Genomic DNA, 15,231 nt, shown 5'->3' on the forward strand with positions numbered 1-15,231 from the left:
CCAAAATAAAATAACTTGGGAGAACACAATTCTGCCATGTGTTAGGCATCTCTTACCAGAAAGCTCTATTCAAAGATTAGAGGGAAAAAAATCTCAAGTTTAAAATTAAGATTTCAAAATCTGATAATGCTGCAAATTTTGAAATCAACATGTACTAAAGGAATAGGAGAAGCAGAAAAGGAAAATAATATTTATTGGCCACTAAAATTTTCACTTGAACTCATCTCTATTTCCAAACTTTTCCAGCACAAGGTCCTTTTTCAAGGTCAGAATATTTTGTAGATATATTTCCCCTAACAAACATGGTAACGGTTCTACTTTAAGACTGTGCTGGAAGAGCTACTATTGACTCAGCAGTATTTTTCAAATAATTTTGCATTTTGCATTCTTTCCATCAAAAGTTGCCTTCTTGATATCTCCACTTGTATGTCTAATATTAAACTGCACATGTTCAAAATAAAGCTCCCAATCCCCAACCCTGAGGCAGCCTCCCTTTCATCTCATGTTAATTCTGTTTCTCCCCTGCTCAGGCCAACAATCTTGGTGCCATTCGTTATATCTCTCTTTGTCTCGTATTCCACAGAAGTCAATCAGCCAAGCTTGTCAGCTCTACCTATTCTAACAAAATCTGTCCAGAGTCCAATGTCTTCTCACAACCCCTTCTCCATCACATCATCTCTGGCCTGGATGACTGCAGTAGACTCCTCATTGGCCTCCTTCTTTTGCCCTTATCCTTTAATGACTTCCCATCTTCCCAAAAGCAAAGGCATAAGGGCTGACATGATCTGCTCCCTTCTCTACCCTCAACCCCTGCCACCCTCTCGCTCATTCCTTTCCAGCCCATTGGGTTCCATGCTATTCCTTGCACATACCAGGCACATGTCTGCCAGGCCTTTGGACCAGCCATTCCCTCCACCTGGAATGCTCTTCTCACAGGCCCCCATATGGCAAATTCCCTCAATGTCCTATATTTTTTCTTTCCTAAGTATTTCCTTAATACTTATCATTCTCCAACAAACTTTTACTTACTTATCTTATATACTGTTATTCTCCTACCCATACTAGAATATAAGATCCGTGAATACAGGGACATTTGTCTGTTTTGTTTACTTGAGTCCACTATGACTGATGCGTATATTTGTTAGTGCTCAATAAATAGTTGTTGAATGAATGAATCTTAAAATGAATCTACAGACATCTGAAAAAGAGCAATGCATCTATGTTCAAAACAGACTAGAGACATTATGTGGATACCTGTGAGTTCACAGACCCTTCACAGCATCTCCAAGGCCCTCCAGGGGTCTGTAGTTCAAAGGCTGGGAACCCCTGAAAGCTCTTATTTTATCCACACCATAATCATATGCTGAAGATAATCATTACTCCCATTTCAAGATGAGGACACTGAGGCTCAGAGAGGTTAAGTTGTAGAGCCAGAATTACACCTGAGCTGACCGACTCCAAAACCTAAACTCCTTCCAAGCAATGATAAAACAATATCATTTATGTAATTTATCCAAGAACTCCTCATTGATACAGCTCTCTTGTGCAATAATAATTATTTAGGTAAAGTATTGAATCAAAGCAATTTATCCATTCATACTTGTAAGTACATTTTAGCTTCCTTGTGTAATATAAAGGTGTGTTCATATGTCTGAAATTTGGTTTGTTGTCTAACTGTGCTACATTCTCTTGTTAGTGACAATAAGTGAACATTTATCAAATACAATTTCTGTAAAATGACAAAAAAGCACATTTCCCTGAGTAACCATTTTACTGGTAAAAATGTATTGTTATATAGTCTTTATTCAATGATAGTTTATTGGGCAATTCTTCTGTCAAAGGCATTGACATGGTTTGCCTCTGTGTCCCCAACCAAATCTCATCTCCAACTGTAATCCTTATGTGTTGAGGAAGGGATCTGGTGGGAGGTGATTGGATCATGGGGGCAGTTTCCCCCATGCTATTCTCATGATAGTGAGGGAGTTCTCACGAGAGCTGATGGTTTTAAAAGAGCCAGTTTCCCCTGCCCATGCTCTCTCTCTCTCTCTCTCGTAGTACCTTTACAGCAGCGTGAAAATGAACTAATACAGGCATTATACTAGATACTTGAGGAGACACAAAAATGAATAAAGCACAAAACTTGCCCTCATAAAGGTCACAATTTCTTTCAAAACTATATTATGGAAACCATGACTGACACATGATAGAGCAAAGTTTACGATTTCTTAGATTAGAATTTCTATAATGTATACATTGCCTAGCACAAAATAGGTAAATAAAAACACACTTGATAAATGAATGACTTATCTGGCATTACTTCTAAATACTTTTCCCCTATCAGAAATTGGTACAAATGCCAAAAAGTTTATCTTCCAGTGATATTATCACTCCAATTTTCTTGTTATAAGACCTGGTAATAAAACATCTCTCTTGACCCTTTCTGACATGGAAGGGCATGTACTTTAAGTTGCTAGGTAGGTAGTCATGACAAACGTAGGCTGAAACATCTGCATTTTTGTGGCACTTTCCCCCAGTGACCATCATGTGTATCTGGGTATCTGGGATATATCCAGGCAGGGAATTAAGAAGGAACACCCACTCAGTTTTTGAGCATTACTATGAGCCAGGCTACCTCACCTACTTTAAGCCAATTTAAGATAAACATTGTTTTCCAATATTTTACAGTGATGAAAACAAGGGCCCGTGCATTTCATTCACATGCCTGGCTGGAATTCTACCCTGGCTTGGCTGTCTCTGCAGCTCCCCTTTGTCATATCTAATTGCATTTCAGTCAACGAAATCTTTTCTATTGAGAAGATACTTCTTAAAAAAAAAAAAAAAAAAGCCATCACTGACAGTCAATGGTCCTGGAATATACCACGGGTCTGAGGTCCCCCAAGGTGGAACTACATCTTGGGTTTATCTACTCCAAGCTTGCTAAGCTGATCATTTATGAAAAACAAAACAGATGAGTAGTACTATAACCATATCCAAAATGAAATTCTTCAATATTCAGTCCACATCTGCCAACCTCACAGTGATGATCTTAGCTTTTTTTTTTTTTTAACTTTCTAATGACTATCACACTTCCTTGCTTTGTGTCAGTGTGACAAATCCGTCATTGCCTTTTTCATTAATCATTCCATTGGTTGAGTGACTCAGGCTGTCACAGAGAAGACAATTATAGAATTATTTTTATGGAAAACAGGCACTGAAATATTGTAATAAAATTTCAGTTATTTTCACTCTCCTTGTTGAGATAGTTTTTTTTTTTTTGGCAAGATCAGACTCATTTATTCTTCTTGAATCATTTATTTCTCAATTTAATGATTCTCTGACCGCCATTAAGTACTTCAAAAGACAACCAGGTAATAAATCAAGTGTGTTTTATTTTACCTCATTTGCCTTTTCCTGTATATATTTTATAGAACCCCATATTTCAGGAGAAGAATTTAGGTGTGACTGCCTTATGGATTAGAAATCAACTAAATGGTCCCTTAGGCTTATAACAGTGATTCTGTAATTTTATGAACTATTGCTTCTTTTGTTCTGAGTTCTAATGAAAACAGCAACAACAACCAGAACTCTTGGTCCCGTGGCTTCTCTGACCTCCCCATGGTGTTCGCCAGTGTGGGCAGCAGCTGGTCAATGAAGCCCCTGAGGTCTGTGAATTAACACTAACCTAACATGGGATCAGACCCTGGTCTCATAAAAGCTCAGAGCAATACCAAAGCAATTTTAAAAAGAAAGAGGAAAAGTGTGGCCAGAAACTAACTGAACACATATTATTTTAGGATTTGGCAGTGACCTTCGAATGAGAAGCTCAGCCGGATAAACATAACACATCTAACAGAATTCAAACTAGGTTAGCACTCAACACATCAGAATTTTTAGGGTGCCCTTATTATTCCTTTCTAATAATTAAAGGAGCTTCAAGCTGCGATTTCCAGCACTGCTCTTACTTGGTTAATTTTTCCCATGGTGACCATATTTCGAGCTCACCTCCAACAAGAAGGACCAGAGGTATTAGGGTGTGTTTGTACATGCTTGTATTTGCTGGAGCTTAAAGAGGCTATAAACTTCCAATTCTCCTCCTACATCAGAAGGATCTCAGAATTCAGCTCTCAATCTTTTATTTCTCCCAGGAGAGAAAAAGGCCTCAACATCATAGCTGAATAGTAGTTTTGAATCTTGGTTTGCGATTTTTTTTTCCAGCCTAATGGAAATCCCGTGAGGAGCACATTGTACTTGTAAAAATAGAGAGAATGCAATGTTTGGTTAATTATCCAGATGTGTAAAAACACAATGAAATTGGATGTAGAGAAAACCTGTAATCGTGTCTTTTGCGTGAATCTCTCTTTTCTTTTATGTTTCAACAACATTCACAGCCTACTTACTGTAACCTGCCATTTGGTTACTTTCAAGGAAGGGAAAAAGATTTCATAGCTAAAGTCCAGCTTCAATCAGCTCCTCCAGAGGAAAACAAATAGTGTCAGAGAATAATATTAAAATGGAAACAATGTCCTCTTACAGAAATTTCACATATGGTAGCAGTTACTATTGTTTCAGCTACTCTCAGTTGACTACATTTCTCTGAAGTTTAGTAGAAAAAAAAAATAGATACACTTATACACTCATTCTCTGCCTTGCTTCTAGGTACACATTTCATGGTGAAAAAATTCAGAACTTTGTCAGTGATAATGAGCAATGGCTTTTGAAATGAGACACAGCTAAACTTAGACACAAAGTTTCACCATCCACAGGCCTTAGTTCCTACCCTTTGCCTGGCAGGTGGAAAGAGGGAGTTGTCAACTTCAGCAATGGTACACTGAGGACCCTGAGGGTCATTCTAAGCTCCCTGCCCTGCTTGAACCCCACTCTCCCCAGCTACACAGAACTAAAAAAAATCCTTCTTTGAAGAATTCACTACTGGGCTGGTGAGAGCTCCTTTGTATCCCCAGAAGGCATCAAGGCGCACTGCCCTTCTGGAATCAGTCATATCATTCCCTTGTTCTCCAGCTCATCCCAGGCACAGACTACAATAGAGCTGCCACCCATTTATGGGAGAAGACCAGAGGGAAGAAGACAGCTTCAATGCCTCACAGAGAACTTTATACACACACTGAACACCCCAGGAAAGCCACAAAACCTGGTGAAAACCTCGGTGTAATGGGCACCATGAGGGCAAGACTAGGCTAGGGCGACCTACCTTGGCTTCATCTAGCCTAGGGTAGAATCTTACTTCCTCAGTACCATTATTTTCTCTGAAGAGAGAAGTGTGGCCTTAAAATGGCCAGTTTAGAAAATTAATGAATGAGGAAAGCTGGAATTTCAGTGTTGTGGTAATCGCTATAACTTCCTAGACATTTCCAGACCATGCGTCATCTAATTTCAAGACCATACTGCTGCAATTAAAAAAAAGAGCCTTCCAACAAGAATATGACTTTATCAAAGTATCTATTTCTTTTTTAATATGGGCTTAAAAAGAAACTTGCAAAATCTACAGGCATAGACATATAGCAAAAACATTTTGATCTATAGCCAATTTTTAGTCACATAAACTTATGCAAAAATACATGCTGCTTCCCAAATGATATATTCTTATTTTCTATTGAGAAGATACTCCTTAAAAAAGAAAAAGCCATCATTGACAGGCATAGGTGAACAAGATGCATCCTTTTCCCACCTACTCTGAGTTCAGTGCCAGTTTGGAGAAATCCAGCGTGAAGCCAGGTGACTCAATGAGATGAATAAACCCTTTTGTTTAAAATGGAGACTACAGTTAATTTGACTTTTAAATAAAGAGTCTGAACACACTGGGCCGCAGTCAACAAACTGAATCTTTGTTTGCTCACTGTAGATACAATTCAGAAGGATGAAGCTGCATAATGGATGTAACTTAGCATTTCTCATTCTCAACCTAAACATCTCATCTAATCAGGTACTATTTATGTCTCTATGCTGCCTGCTCCAGCATGGTAATTCATTTCCAACAAAGCTTATAATGACTTCTGATTTACTCATATTCTTTTCTGTGCAACCTCAGTACATATGTATCGATTTGATTTGGATATGCTGTCCAAAAGCCAGAGATCCAACTTGCAAACATTTCCATATGCCCTTGTTCAGTTCTTCGGTTGCAGCTTAAACCCTGATTTTTGTAATATTAAAATCATTAAATAGTCACAAATCCATTTTCAATTCAAAAAGAAAATATTGGCAAGTGCAGATGAACATAACTGAAAATAGAGATTTGTCATAGGTTCAAGAGTTAAAACAGCTTGAATGCTATCTAATAAAATTCAGCAAGTTCCAAGCCTTGAGAAATAATTGCATTCCAAAGACTTCAAGTCCTTATATCACTTGAAACTTCCACTTACTCTATAAAACTTAATGATCAAAGCCAAGTCTTTATGATTAAAACAGTCTTGGCCAGAAAGACAGAGACATTCAAGAAGCTAGAGAACTTCTTTTCTGTTTGTGTAAGGTTAATAACCTTAGAGATTCAGCATAAAATATGGAAGGGGATGTTTGACTCCCCTTCAGACACAAAGTGAATCTGAAGCAGGTCCTAGAGACAGTGCAAGTTCAAGGTGAGAGCACCCAGTTTGGTGAACAAGCATTTTGGTGAACAAGGCTGCACCACTAGCTCATTTCTTCACCACCATCTTCAGGCCCTGGAGTCTGACTGCTTAGGTTCCAATGCTGGCTCCTCCACTTTCTGGCTGGGTGACCTTGGTAAGGCATACCTAACCTCACTAAGCCTCGGTCACCTCACCTGTAAAATGGGAAGAATAATCATAGCACCTATTTCATAAGGCAGCTGTTAGGATTAAACGAGGTAATGCATAAAACAGTGCTTAGCATGATGTCTACCATACAGTCCATTCTCAATAAATATTCTCTAGTAAAATCTACAGATAAAATACATGAACTAGATGTTCTTGAAGTATCACTTCTAGCCATCAAATTACATGATCCCAAGCCCAGGCTAACAGGATGATGGTACAGGCTTACATAGAATGCTAATAATTATAAGCCTACTTCTAGAATCGCTCTCCCACCCCACCTTGGTTGCCACCCTTCTGTTTGCATGTTAGTGCTTGAAATTACCCTATTACAAATATCTACCCATCAGGTAGGCTCTGCTCTCTACTCAAATGCAAACATGTTGAGAGTCCACCCTATTGGGTTTAATTTATCAGATCCTTTCTATGGAACAATGAGTTGACAACAAGTCAGAATGGGGGACAGAAACAGAACAATCATGATACAGATGGAAGAAGCATGGAGAAATAGAAGCTGTGCACAATAGACTGAGGAGAGGATGGCTGAGGTGGGAAGATGGCCCTGGAAAACAACGGAGGCCAAAGGAGAGTCCCCAGGGCCTGGGACATAGTACAGGGAGAGAAGGGCAATGAAAGGGAGGCGAGAGGAGCAGAAAAGATCACTATTGGGTACTGAGCTTAATACCTGGGTGATGTAATAATATGTACAACAAACCCCTATGACACGTGTTTGTCTATGTAACAAACCTTCACATGTACACCCAAACCTAAAATAAAAATTTTAAAAAAAGAAAGGGGCTGGGCGCAGTGGCTTACATCTGTAATCTCAGCACTTTGGGAGACTGAGGTAGGCAGATCACCCAGTCAGGAGTTCAAGGCCAGCCTGTCCAACATAGTGAAACCCCATCTCTACTAAAAATACAAAAATTAGGCGGGCATGGTGGCACGTGCCTGTAATCCCAGCTACTCGGGAGGCTGAGGCAGGAGAATCACCTGAACCCGGGAATTGGAGGGTGCAGTGAGCTGAGATGGCAATGCTGCACTCCAGCTTAGGCATCAGAGTGACACTTTGTCTCAAAAAAAAAAAAAAAAAAAAGTAGGTGAAAAGATGCAGGAAATAAATATCAATATTTTTATTTTATCTAAAGGCAGCCATGCATGAACTCCATTCTATAATATTCATTAAGCACCGTGCTTAGTATTGAATAAGAAACAAACATGGCTCTCGCATACTGGGAGCTTGCCACCTAACCCAATGGGCCATGATGATTTCAATAAAGGTTGTCAGACACTGTACTTCCAACAGGGACTTCACCCATGCAGATGAAGATAAAGTGTCCCATTAAGCTCCCTAATTCATTTTTAAATAGCTTCAAAGTTTTGTCTCTATTGGGTTCTCAAATAAATTATGGTTGCAAAACTGTTTATAAAGAGAGTCTGCCCGTTTTTGCTGATGGAGAAGAGATGTTCTGTTTTAACCACATGCCCTGCTAGTTTGGAAGCGTTCCCATCCACTGCCACAACCTCCCACGTGCACTGACTCTTTCCCTTGAGCGGCACATAAAGCCACAGGCTCAGAGAACAATGGGCGGTCCCCCTGATCCTGTCACCTACCTGCCTTCCCGTGAGGGCTGTTTTGCTTTAACTTCTACCTGGGCTCATGTACAATTGAGAGGATGCTAAATGTGTCCGTGCCTCAAGAACAAGGGCAATCTCACTAATAGCTACTGGCTCAGAAAGGATAACACTTATAAAGAAAGTTAATTATGGGAATTAAACACAGCTTATTTCTCTTTTTGAAGTATGTTTTTTTCATGCCTTGAGGAGGGTGATTTACAGACACATTTGTCTCTTTTTAGAGAAAATTAATTCCAGTTGGTGTTCTGGGCAGAAATGAAGAGGAGGAGGAAGAAGACAAAGCAGCTTCTCCCCTTTCCTTTGCACTGAGGGCAGGCCCACGCCACTTTCTCTGGTGTGGCCACACCATCGTCCACACGGTGAGGCAGGGAGCCTGGGGTGGGTCCTGACACATTTTGCTGCTGTCCATATAAAAAACAAGCACAACTTCTAATGTCAACTGCTAAGCTCCATTTTTTTTTAGACAAAGTAACTATTGCTTTTAAAAATGATTTCAAAATAATAGACACAGAGTAGAGGGGGAAATGCCATATCCCAGCAATGAGTTAGCGGAGCTTCTATTAACACTTCAGCTCTTGTCTCCAGGCATTAGGCTGTATGCTTGGGAGTCATAATATATTAGCCCAGCTTTTCAGCATGAATGGTAATAATAGTCATCATGTGTTGGGTACTCACCACAGCCAGTCACTATGCTAATATCTGAGGAGGGTTATCTAATTAAATGCTCAAAACAACCCTATGCAGTAGGTACTATTATTATTTCCAGACTGCTTCACACCAAATCAAGGTTCTGAACAGCTGCTCCAGACCCCTTGAGCATCAGGCTCCTCTCATTCATAGCACACAAATGTGAAGATATTTAGGTCTGGTGCATTTACATTGAAAAGCAGAAAACCATTTCTGAATTTGTGCATTTATTTTTTGAAGATGGCTCTACAAACTCAGCAGCACTATTCAGCTTTCCTAAGAGTGTGAGAAAATTAAGAGTTTAGAAGAGAAAGGAATTTTCTTTCTTGAAAAATCTAGAACAATTTTTTTTTGTGTGGTGGCAGCAGCGAGAGGGAAAATGGGTAGGTATTACGTTAAAACTGCAATTACATACAGATACTTAAAGAGTGAGTCTAGATAACTGAATTTGAACTTTCTAGTAAAGCAAAATATCCCTGGAAGTGATCTAGTTTAACAACTCATCTGATTGTTAGATGAAAAGCAGAGGCCCAGGGAGGCTGAAAGACTTTTCTGAAATCATCCAGGGAGGAGCAAAGCCAGCCCTGAATCCCAGGTCTCCAAATGATTAATCCAGAACGCCTTCCACTTCTCTTTTCTGCCACATGGCCTTAAAACAGAAGACAACCCAGATGGGACAAACTAGACTGAATAAATATTCATAATATTCTAATATTCATAATAAACCATCAAGGCATCATTATTTAGTGTTTTTTCTTCTGAAAAGAGCAGTGCCCCCAGACTGAACGTATCCCATGTAGTTCGGGGAGGATGATATCTCCTGACAATGGCATCTCTACCTCACATCTTCCTTCACCACTCAGAAGGCACAGGTTTCCTTAAAAGTATTCATCCTGGCAGCAAGGAAGGTAAAAAGAAAACTGTCCTTTTCTACACACATTAGGAAATTATATGCATAAAACCACAAGGCAGATGTGAAATAACCAAGTCAAATTTTTCATCTGGGATTTGGCAGTTTTGCCAAACATCATGGTTTGTATCAACATCAACATCATGGTTAACAACATCACCACATTATTTCCAAGACAAGGCATTACACACGAAGTAGACCACTCTTCTGTGGGAGGTGGAGAATGGGCATTTTCCAGGGTTGTTGCCAAATAATGGGAGTGTCACTTCCTATTCACTTCCCTAACCTGGCTCTGAAATTGGTTAAAAGACAAGGAACAGGCAGAAATTACCAGGAGAGGTTCTAAGTTGTCCTGACTGCATAACTGGCTTAAAAAAACCTAAAGTGTAGTATGCTAATCAGTCAGAACATCCCTTCCAAATAGCTTATAAAGAGAAGAAAGAGAGAAGTTGCTAGTTCCAGTTACTTGCCATTCCCATGGAAAAACTCGGACCATTTTTCTCTTTCCCTCGCTGAAGGTGGACATTGCAGATGTGCTTGCCAGCATCTTTACAGCCCTTCCTCTGGCATCATCACTTGGATCTTCCTCTGGAGACCACTCATTTCCAACTCTCAGGCCTTATGATTCAGAGTGTGAGGGCCCCCCATCCTGGTCCCTACCCTCCCAGGGTGTGGAGTGGGCCTCAGGCACCATTCTGGCCAATTTGTATATTCCAACCACCTGGGTCCAGCTGGTGGTTCTAGGATAGGCATGGGATCCAAGTGGATCATCTGAGATTCAGGAATCTGGAGGGCTGGAATTACTGGGAAAGGGAAGTTGAATGGATAGGCTATACCTGCCCTGGGATGGATGGAGAAGCAGGAGTACCACATGAAAAGAACTTGCCTGAGAATGAAACCAGAAAAGTACAAAGCCAAGTACATAGATCAGGAAAGAATGACAGGCAGAATCCTGATGACAAAGTAAGGGCACCCAGGTCCAGCCACACCTGACGTTAAATCAATCAATGCCCTGTTTCACTAAAGCTGCTTTAAATAGGGTTTCTGTCACTTGCAACCAAGAGCCTTAACTAACACACCCTTATTTATCCTTCAAAACCCGGTTTAATTGTCACCTCCTCTGCTTGGCCTTTCCTGAGGATCCCACACTGAGGTAGCTACTGGTACCTTTCCTGGGGCTATTAGTCTTTACAGTTACTTGTCTAATTTTTTCCTTTTTTTTTCTTTTTTCAAGACTCGTGGATCAGAGATAATATTTCTCTAATTGTGCCTTTCATCTGTATTGTAATTATTCGACCTTCAGATTTAGGGCAGAGTCAATATCTCATAAATCACTGAATTCCTAATATTTGTCCAGTGCCTCAAACATAGCAGATACTCAATATATCTGTGCTCAGTTGAATTCAATTCTAAATGTTCTTTCAGTGAACACTGGACCCTCAATGGTTTCCCATTACCGTTAGAATAAAGTCCAAACTCTGCCACAGGCAGCCGGGCCCTGCAGGATCCACTGGCCTCTTTCTGCTCAGCTCCTACCACAGCAGCTCTGTGCTTTTCCTTGAACCTGCCAAGCCTGTCCCCACTGGAGAGTCTTTGCATTCATTGTTCCTTCTGCCAGGAAAGCTCTTCTTACAGATACTGCAGAAATTACCCCACCACATCATTCAGGGTTCTGCTCATTATCTCGTCAGACAATCTTATCCAAAATAGCACCTCCTTCACTCTCCAGCCCTTGCCCTACTGCATCCTTTCATGACACTTGTCCCTGCCTGATGGTGGTACCTAGCACATATTTTAGTTATCACTGCCTACCTCTCTAGAATGTAGGGCATGGATTTTTTTGTTGTTTTTCAGTGTTATTCACCATTATGTTCCTAGCACCTAGAACTGCACCTGTGTTCTCAAATGATTGGCTGGTACACATTTTTAAAATAATCTTAAAAAGGATGAAAAAAGCAAACCCTAAAACTGAAACCAACATAGACAAATGAATGTAACTGTGTATTAAATTTTAACATAATCTCCCTTAAAAAATAGAATTCTTTTAACTTTTAAACACAGTACTTTGATTATAGGTGTGTAGTGAGATACAATTTAAGGATAAAAATCATTGCAGCAAAAAATATTAAAAGTAATTTTGATGTTTCTTGTTGGTAATGGTACACATGTAGTAATTCTGAAACCATATTGGGCATATTGTAAAAGCAATCAAAAGAGGAAACACACTGATGCCATTAGGAACCACAGCCCTCAATGTGGGAGAAGGGGTAAAAAAATACAGAACAGAGAAAAGAGAAGAGAACCTTGTGGTATGGAATTAGAATTATGGGTATCAGTATGAAGTCATTTTGTTTCCTAGCTCTGCCCACAGACTGTCTAAAAGCAATGACATCCCAGCAGCAATGGGCCACTTAGTGCTTAGCACTTGCTTTTTAAATGCCATTCCCCAGGAAAAAGAAACAGCATTCTGTGAAGAACTGACTGATTCCAAGGCTAGGGCAGGGAAAGTACAAGAAGTACAAGATGCTTCTGGAACACACCTTTGTGTCAAAAAGCAAGGACATGCTTGGAGGCTAATGGGGACCGGTCAAAAGGGCACAGGAGCCAACTGAAGGGGTTCCCAGTGACCAAATTTAAAGCAATGTAAACATCAAAAATAAAAAACAAATTTTAACAGATCAAATAGAAATAACAATCTGTGAATCCACAGTACTATTTTTAAATGTAAGTAATAGGAGGAAAAGGGAAAAATCTTCCCTATGGAAGAATGCCAGGTGATATCCACAGAAAGATACATTAGAAAAATCACCATTTTATCACCCCCAGTGTAATAACTGATTCAGACAGAGATCAGTGGATGCTAAAACTACTGGATGGCATTTTTTGAGGAAACAGTGTTTGAATGGTCTTTAATTATGAGTTAATTACAAACATAAACAGGTGCCTTCACAATGGCAAGATCTGGCAGACACCACCTTGACGCAGTGATCCAGTTTAGCATCACCAACAGTGGGACAAACTGACTTCATGTGCCTCCTGATGTGACACACCAGAAAGTACACACCATCTATGTAATGATCTTGCTCAAATGTTTTGACATAACCTAAGCACTGAGGAAAAAATCAGACAAATTCAGAAAATGGGACATTCTACAAAGCACCTGGCCTGGACTCTTCAAATCATCATCATGAATGATGAGGACAACAAACAAGGCAGATGACTGAGCCTACCTAGTGCACCCATGGTAATATGTGAGCATGCATTGGGCCCTGGGATTTAAAAAATGTTATGAAAGGGCTGGGCATGGTGGCTCATGCCTGTAATCCCAGCACTTTGGGAGGCCGAGGCGGGCAGATCATGAGGTCAGGAGTTCAAGACCAGCCTGGCCAACATGGTGAAACCCCATCTCTACTAAAAATACAAAAATTAGCCGTGCATGGTGGCAGGCGCCTGTAATCTCAGCTACTCAGGAGGCTGAGGCAGGAGAATTGCTTGAACCCAGGAGGCGCAGGTTGCAGTGAGCCGAGATCACGCCACTGCACTCCAGCCCTTGGCAACAAGAGCAAAACTCCAACTAAAAAAAAATATATATATATATGAAGGGCATTTTGATAATTGGGAGAATTTTGAATAAAGGCTGAATCAATATTGATATGTATGTGTACATGTATATACATATATAGATTTTAAATGAACAAACTACACTCATAATATATGTCAGTTCTGGTGATGTTTGAAGCACACAAGGAAACGTGACTTCTACTTACCTCCCCAGTGACATAAAAGTCATTATTTTTATATTCAGGAAATATCTGGAAAAACTGAATTAGTGCACTGCAAAAAGAAGAACAAGAACAACACAAATTAATCAGAAAAATGATTCAGGATCTCTTCATGCTAGGATATCAAATCTAACTCTTTGGCAATAGGTTTCACACTTGAAATAAGATACCACTCTGCTATGAGCTCCTGTAGGACATTTTATTTACACAATACATGTGGGCTTACTTTGTGATAATAAGAAGTTTGGACAAGTGGACATCAATACTCTGGGCATGTTTCCAAATTACTGATATACCAGTTTGGATCATCTAACTGTTGAGGGCACCTTGAGCAAATAATACAGGTTTCACATGTTACGTAGCAATTCTTGGAGGTAGTTCTGCAAACTTTATGATCCCATTAGCCCGGGTTTGTGGTGAAGTAAGGGAAGTCTTAGTTGCTTACCAACCCCCACTGTGGGGGACTCTGAACATTTCTGATGGAGCTCCAAGAATGCCACATTTTAATAACCAAAGAACAGAAAAACTGTAAGATGACTATAATTTAAAAGAAAAACAGCAAATGGTCACAGATATTGAAATAAATGTACAGTAGGCTCTGGGCTAAAAAAAAGAAAAACACATTTACTAAAGAATGCTAACAGCCGGCCAGGGCGGTGGCTCATGCCTATAATACCAGGACTTTGGGAGGCTAAGGTGGGCGGATAACGAGGTCAGGAGTTCGAGACCAGCCTAGCCAACATAGTGAAACCCCATCTCTACTAAAAATACAAAAATTAGCCAGGCATGGTGGTGCGCGCCTGTAGTCCCAGCTACTCAGGAGGCTGAGACAGAAGAATCACTTCAACCAGGGAGGCTGAGGTTGCAGTGAGCTGAGATTGCGCCATTGCACTCCAGCCTGGGCAACAGAGTAAGACTCTGTCTCAAAAAAAAAAAAAAAAAAAAAGAATGCCAATAGCCACTTCAGTGATGAAATAGATTTTAACAGACTCAAGGAGTGATTTCATAATAAGCAAGAAGACAGTGGATTTTTAAATGATTCTTTACCTGAACAAAATATTTCAAAAAAAGGAAAACAAAAACTTGTGAAACTCAGTAGCTCTATGAGTGTTTTGACCCAGACTGCAGTGCCTGCGAAGCTAGGGGAGGTTGTTGGCCCAGTTTCCTGCTGAGAGACTAAAAGCCATGAACCATCCAGGAAGATGAAAGGCAAGGAGGCTCTGAAAACCCAGGAGGATGGCGAAGTTCAAGGGTTACAAAGAGGCAAAATTGGGTCATTACAATCACCATGATCCTAGCTATATTTAATTTTCAAAGGCTGCATAAAAATTCACCATGAAACACTACTGTAGAGTTTCGGTGTATTTCTGTATTCATTATTTATAGTGGCCTTTGTAGCAACTAAATCTGAGAAGCTGCATTTTAT

General features: G+C 40.1%; 1 protein-coding gene and 1 long non-coding RNA gene across 22 annotated transcripts in view; one reads left to right on the forward strand and one right to left on the reverse strand.

Moving 5' to 3' along the window:
• The window catches only part of CPVL (carboxypeptidase vitellogenic like), a 200,816-nt gene that overhangs the window by 78,058 nt on the left and 107,527 nt on the right, over window positions 1–15,231 (reverse strand). For all 21 annotated transcript variants that reach the window (NM_001371268.1, NM_001371258.1, NM_001371256.1 and 18 more), the window contains one exon: window positions 13,791–13,857. In NM_001371268.1, the coding sequence (NP_001358197.1) occupies window positions 13,791–13,857 (67 nt within the window). The remainder of the gene's footprint in view (window positions 1–13,790; window positions 13,858–15,231) is intronic.
• CPVL-AS1 (CPVL antisense RNA 1) lies at window positions 7,591–9,855 on the forward strand. Its single transcript, XR_001744918.2, has 3 exons — window positions 7,591–7,635; window positions 8,648–8,785; window positions 9,629–9,855. It is a non-coding gene; the product is annotated as a CPVL antisense RNA 1 (long non-coding RNA).

The sequence above is a fragment of the Homo sapiens genome, chromosome 7, assembly GCF_000001405.40.
Source record: "Homo sapiens chromosome 7, GRCh38.p14 Primary Assembly".
In the NCBI taxonomy this organism is placed as follows: domain Eukaryota; kingdom Metazoa; phylum Chordata; class Mammalia; order Primates; family Hominidae; genus Homo; species Homo sapiens.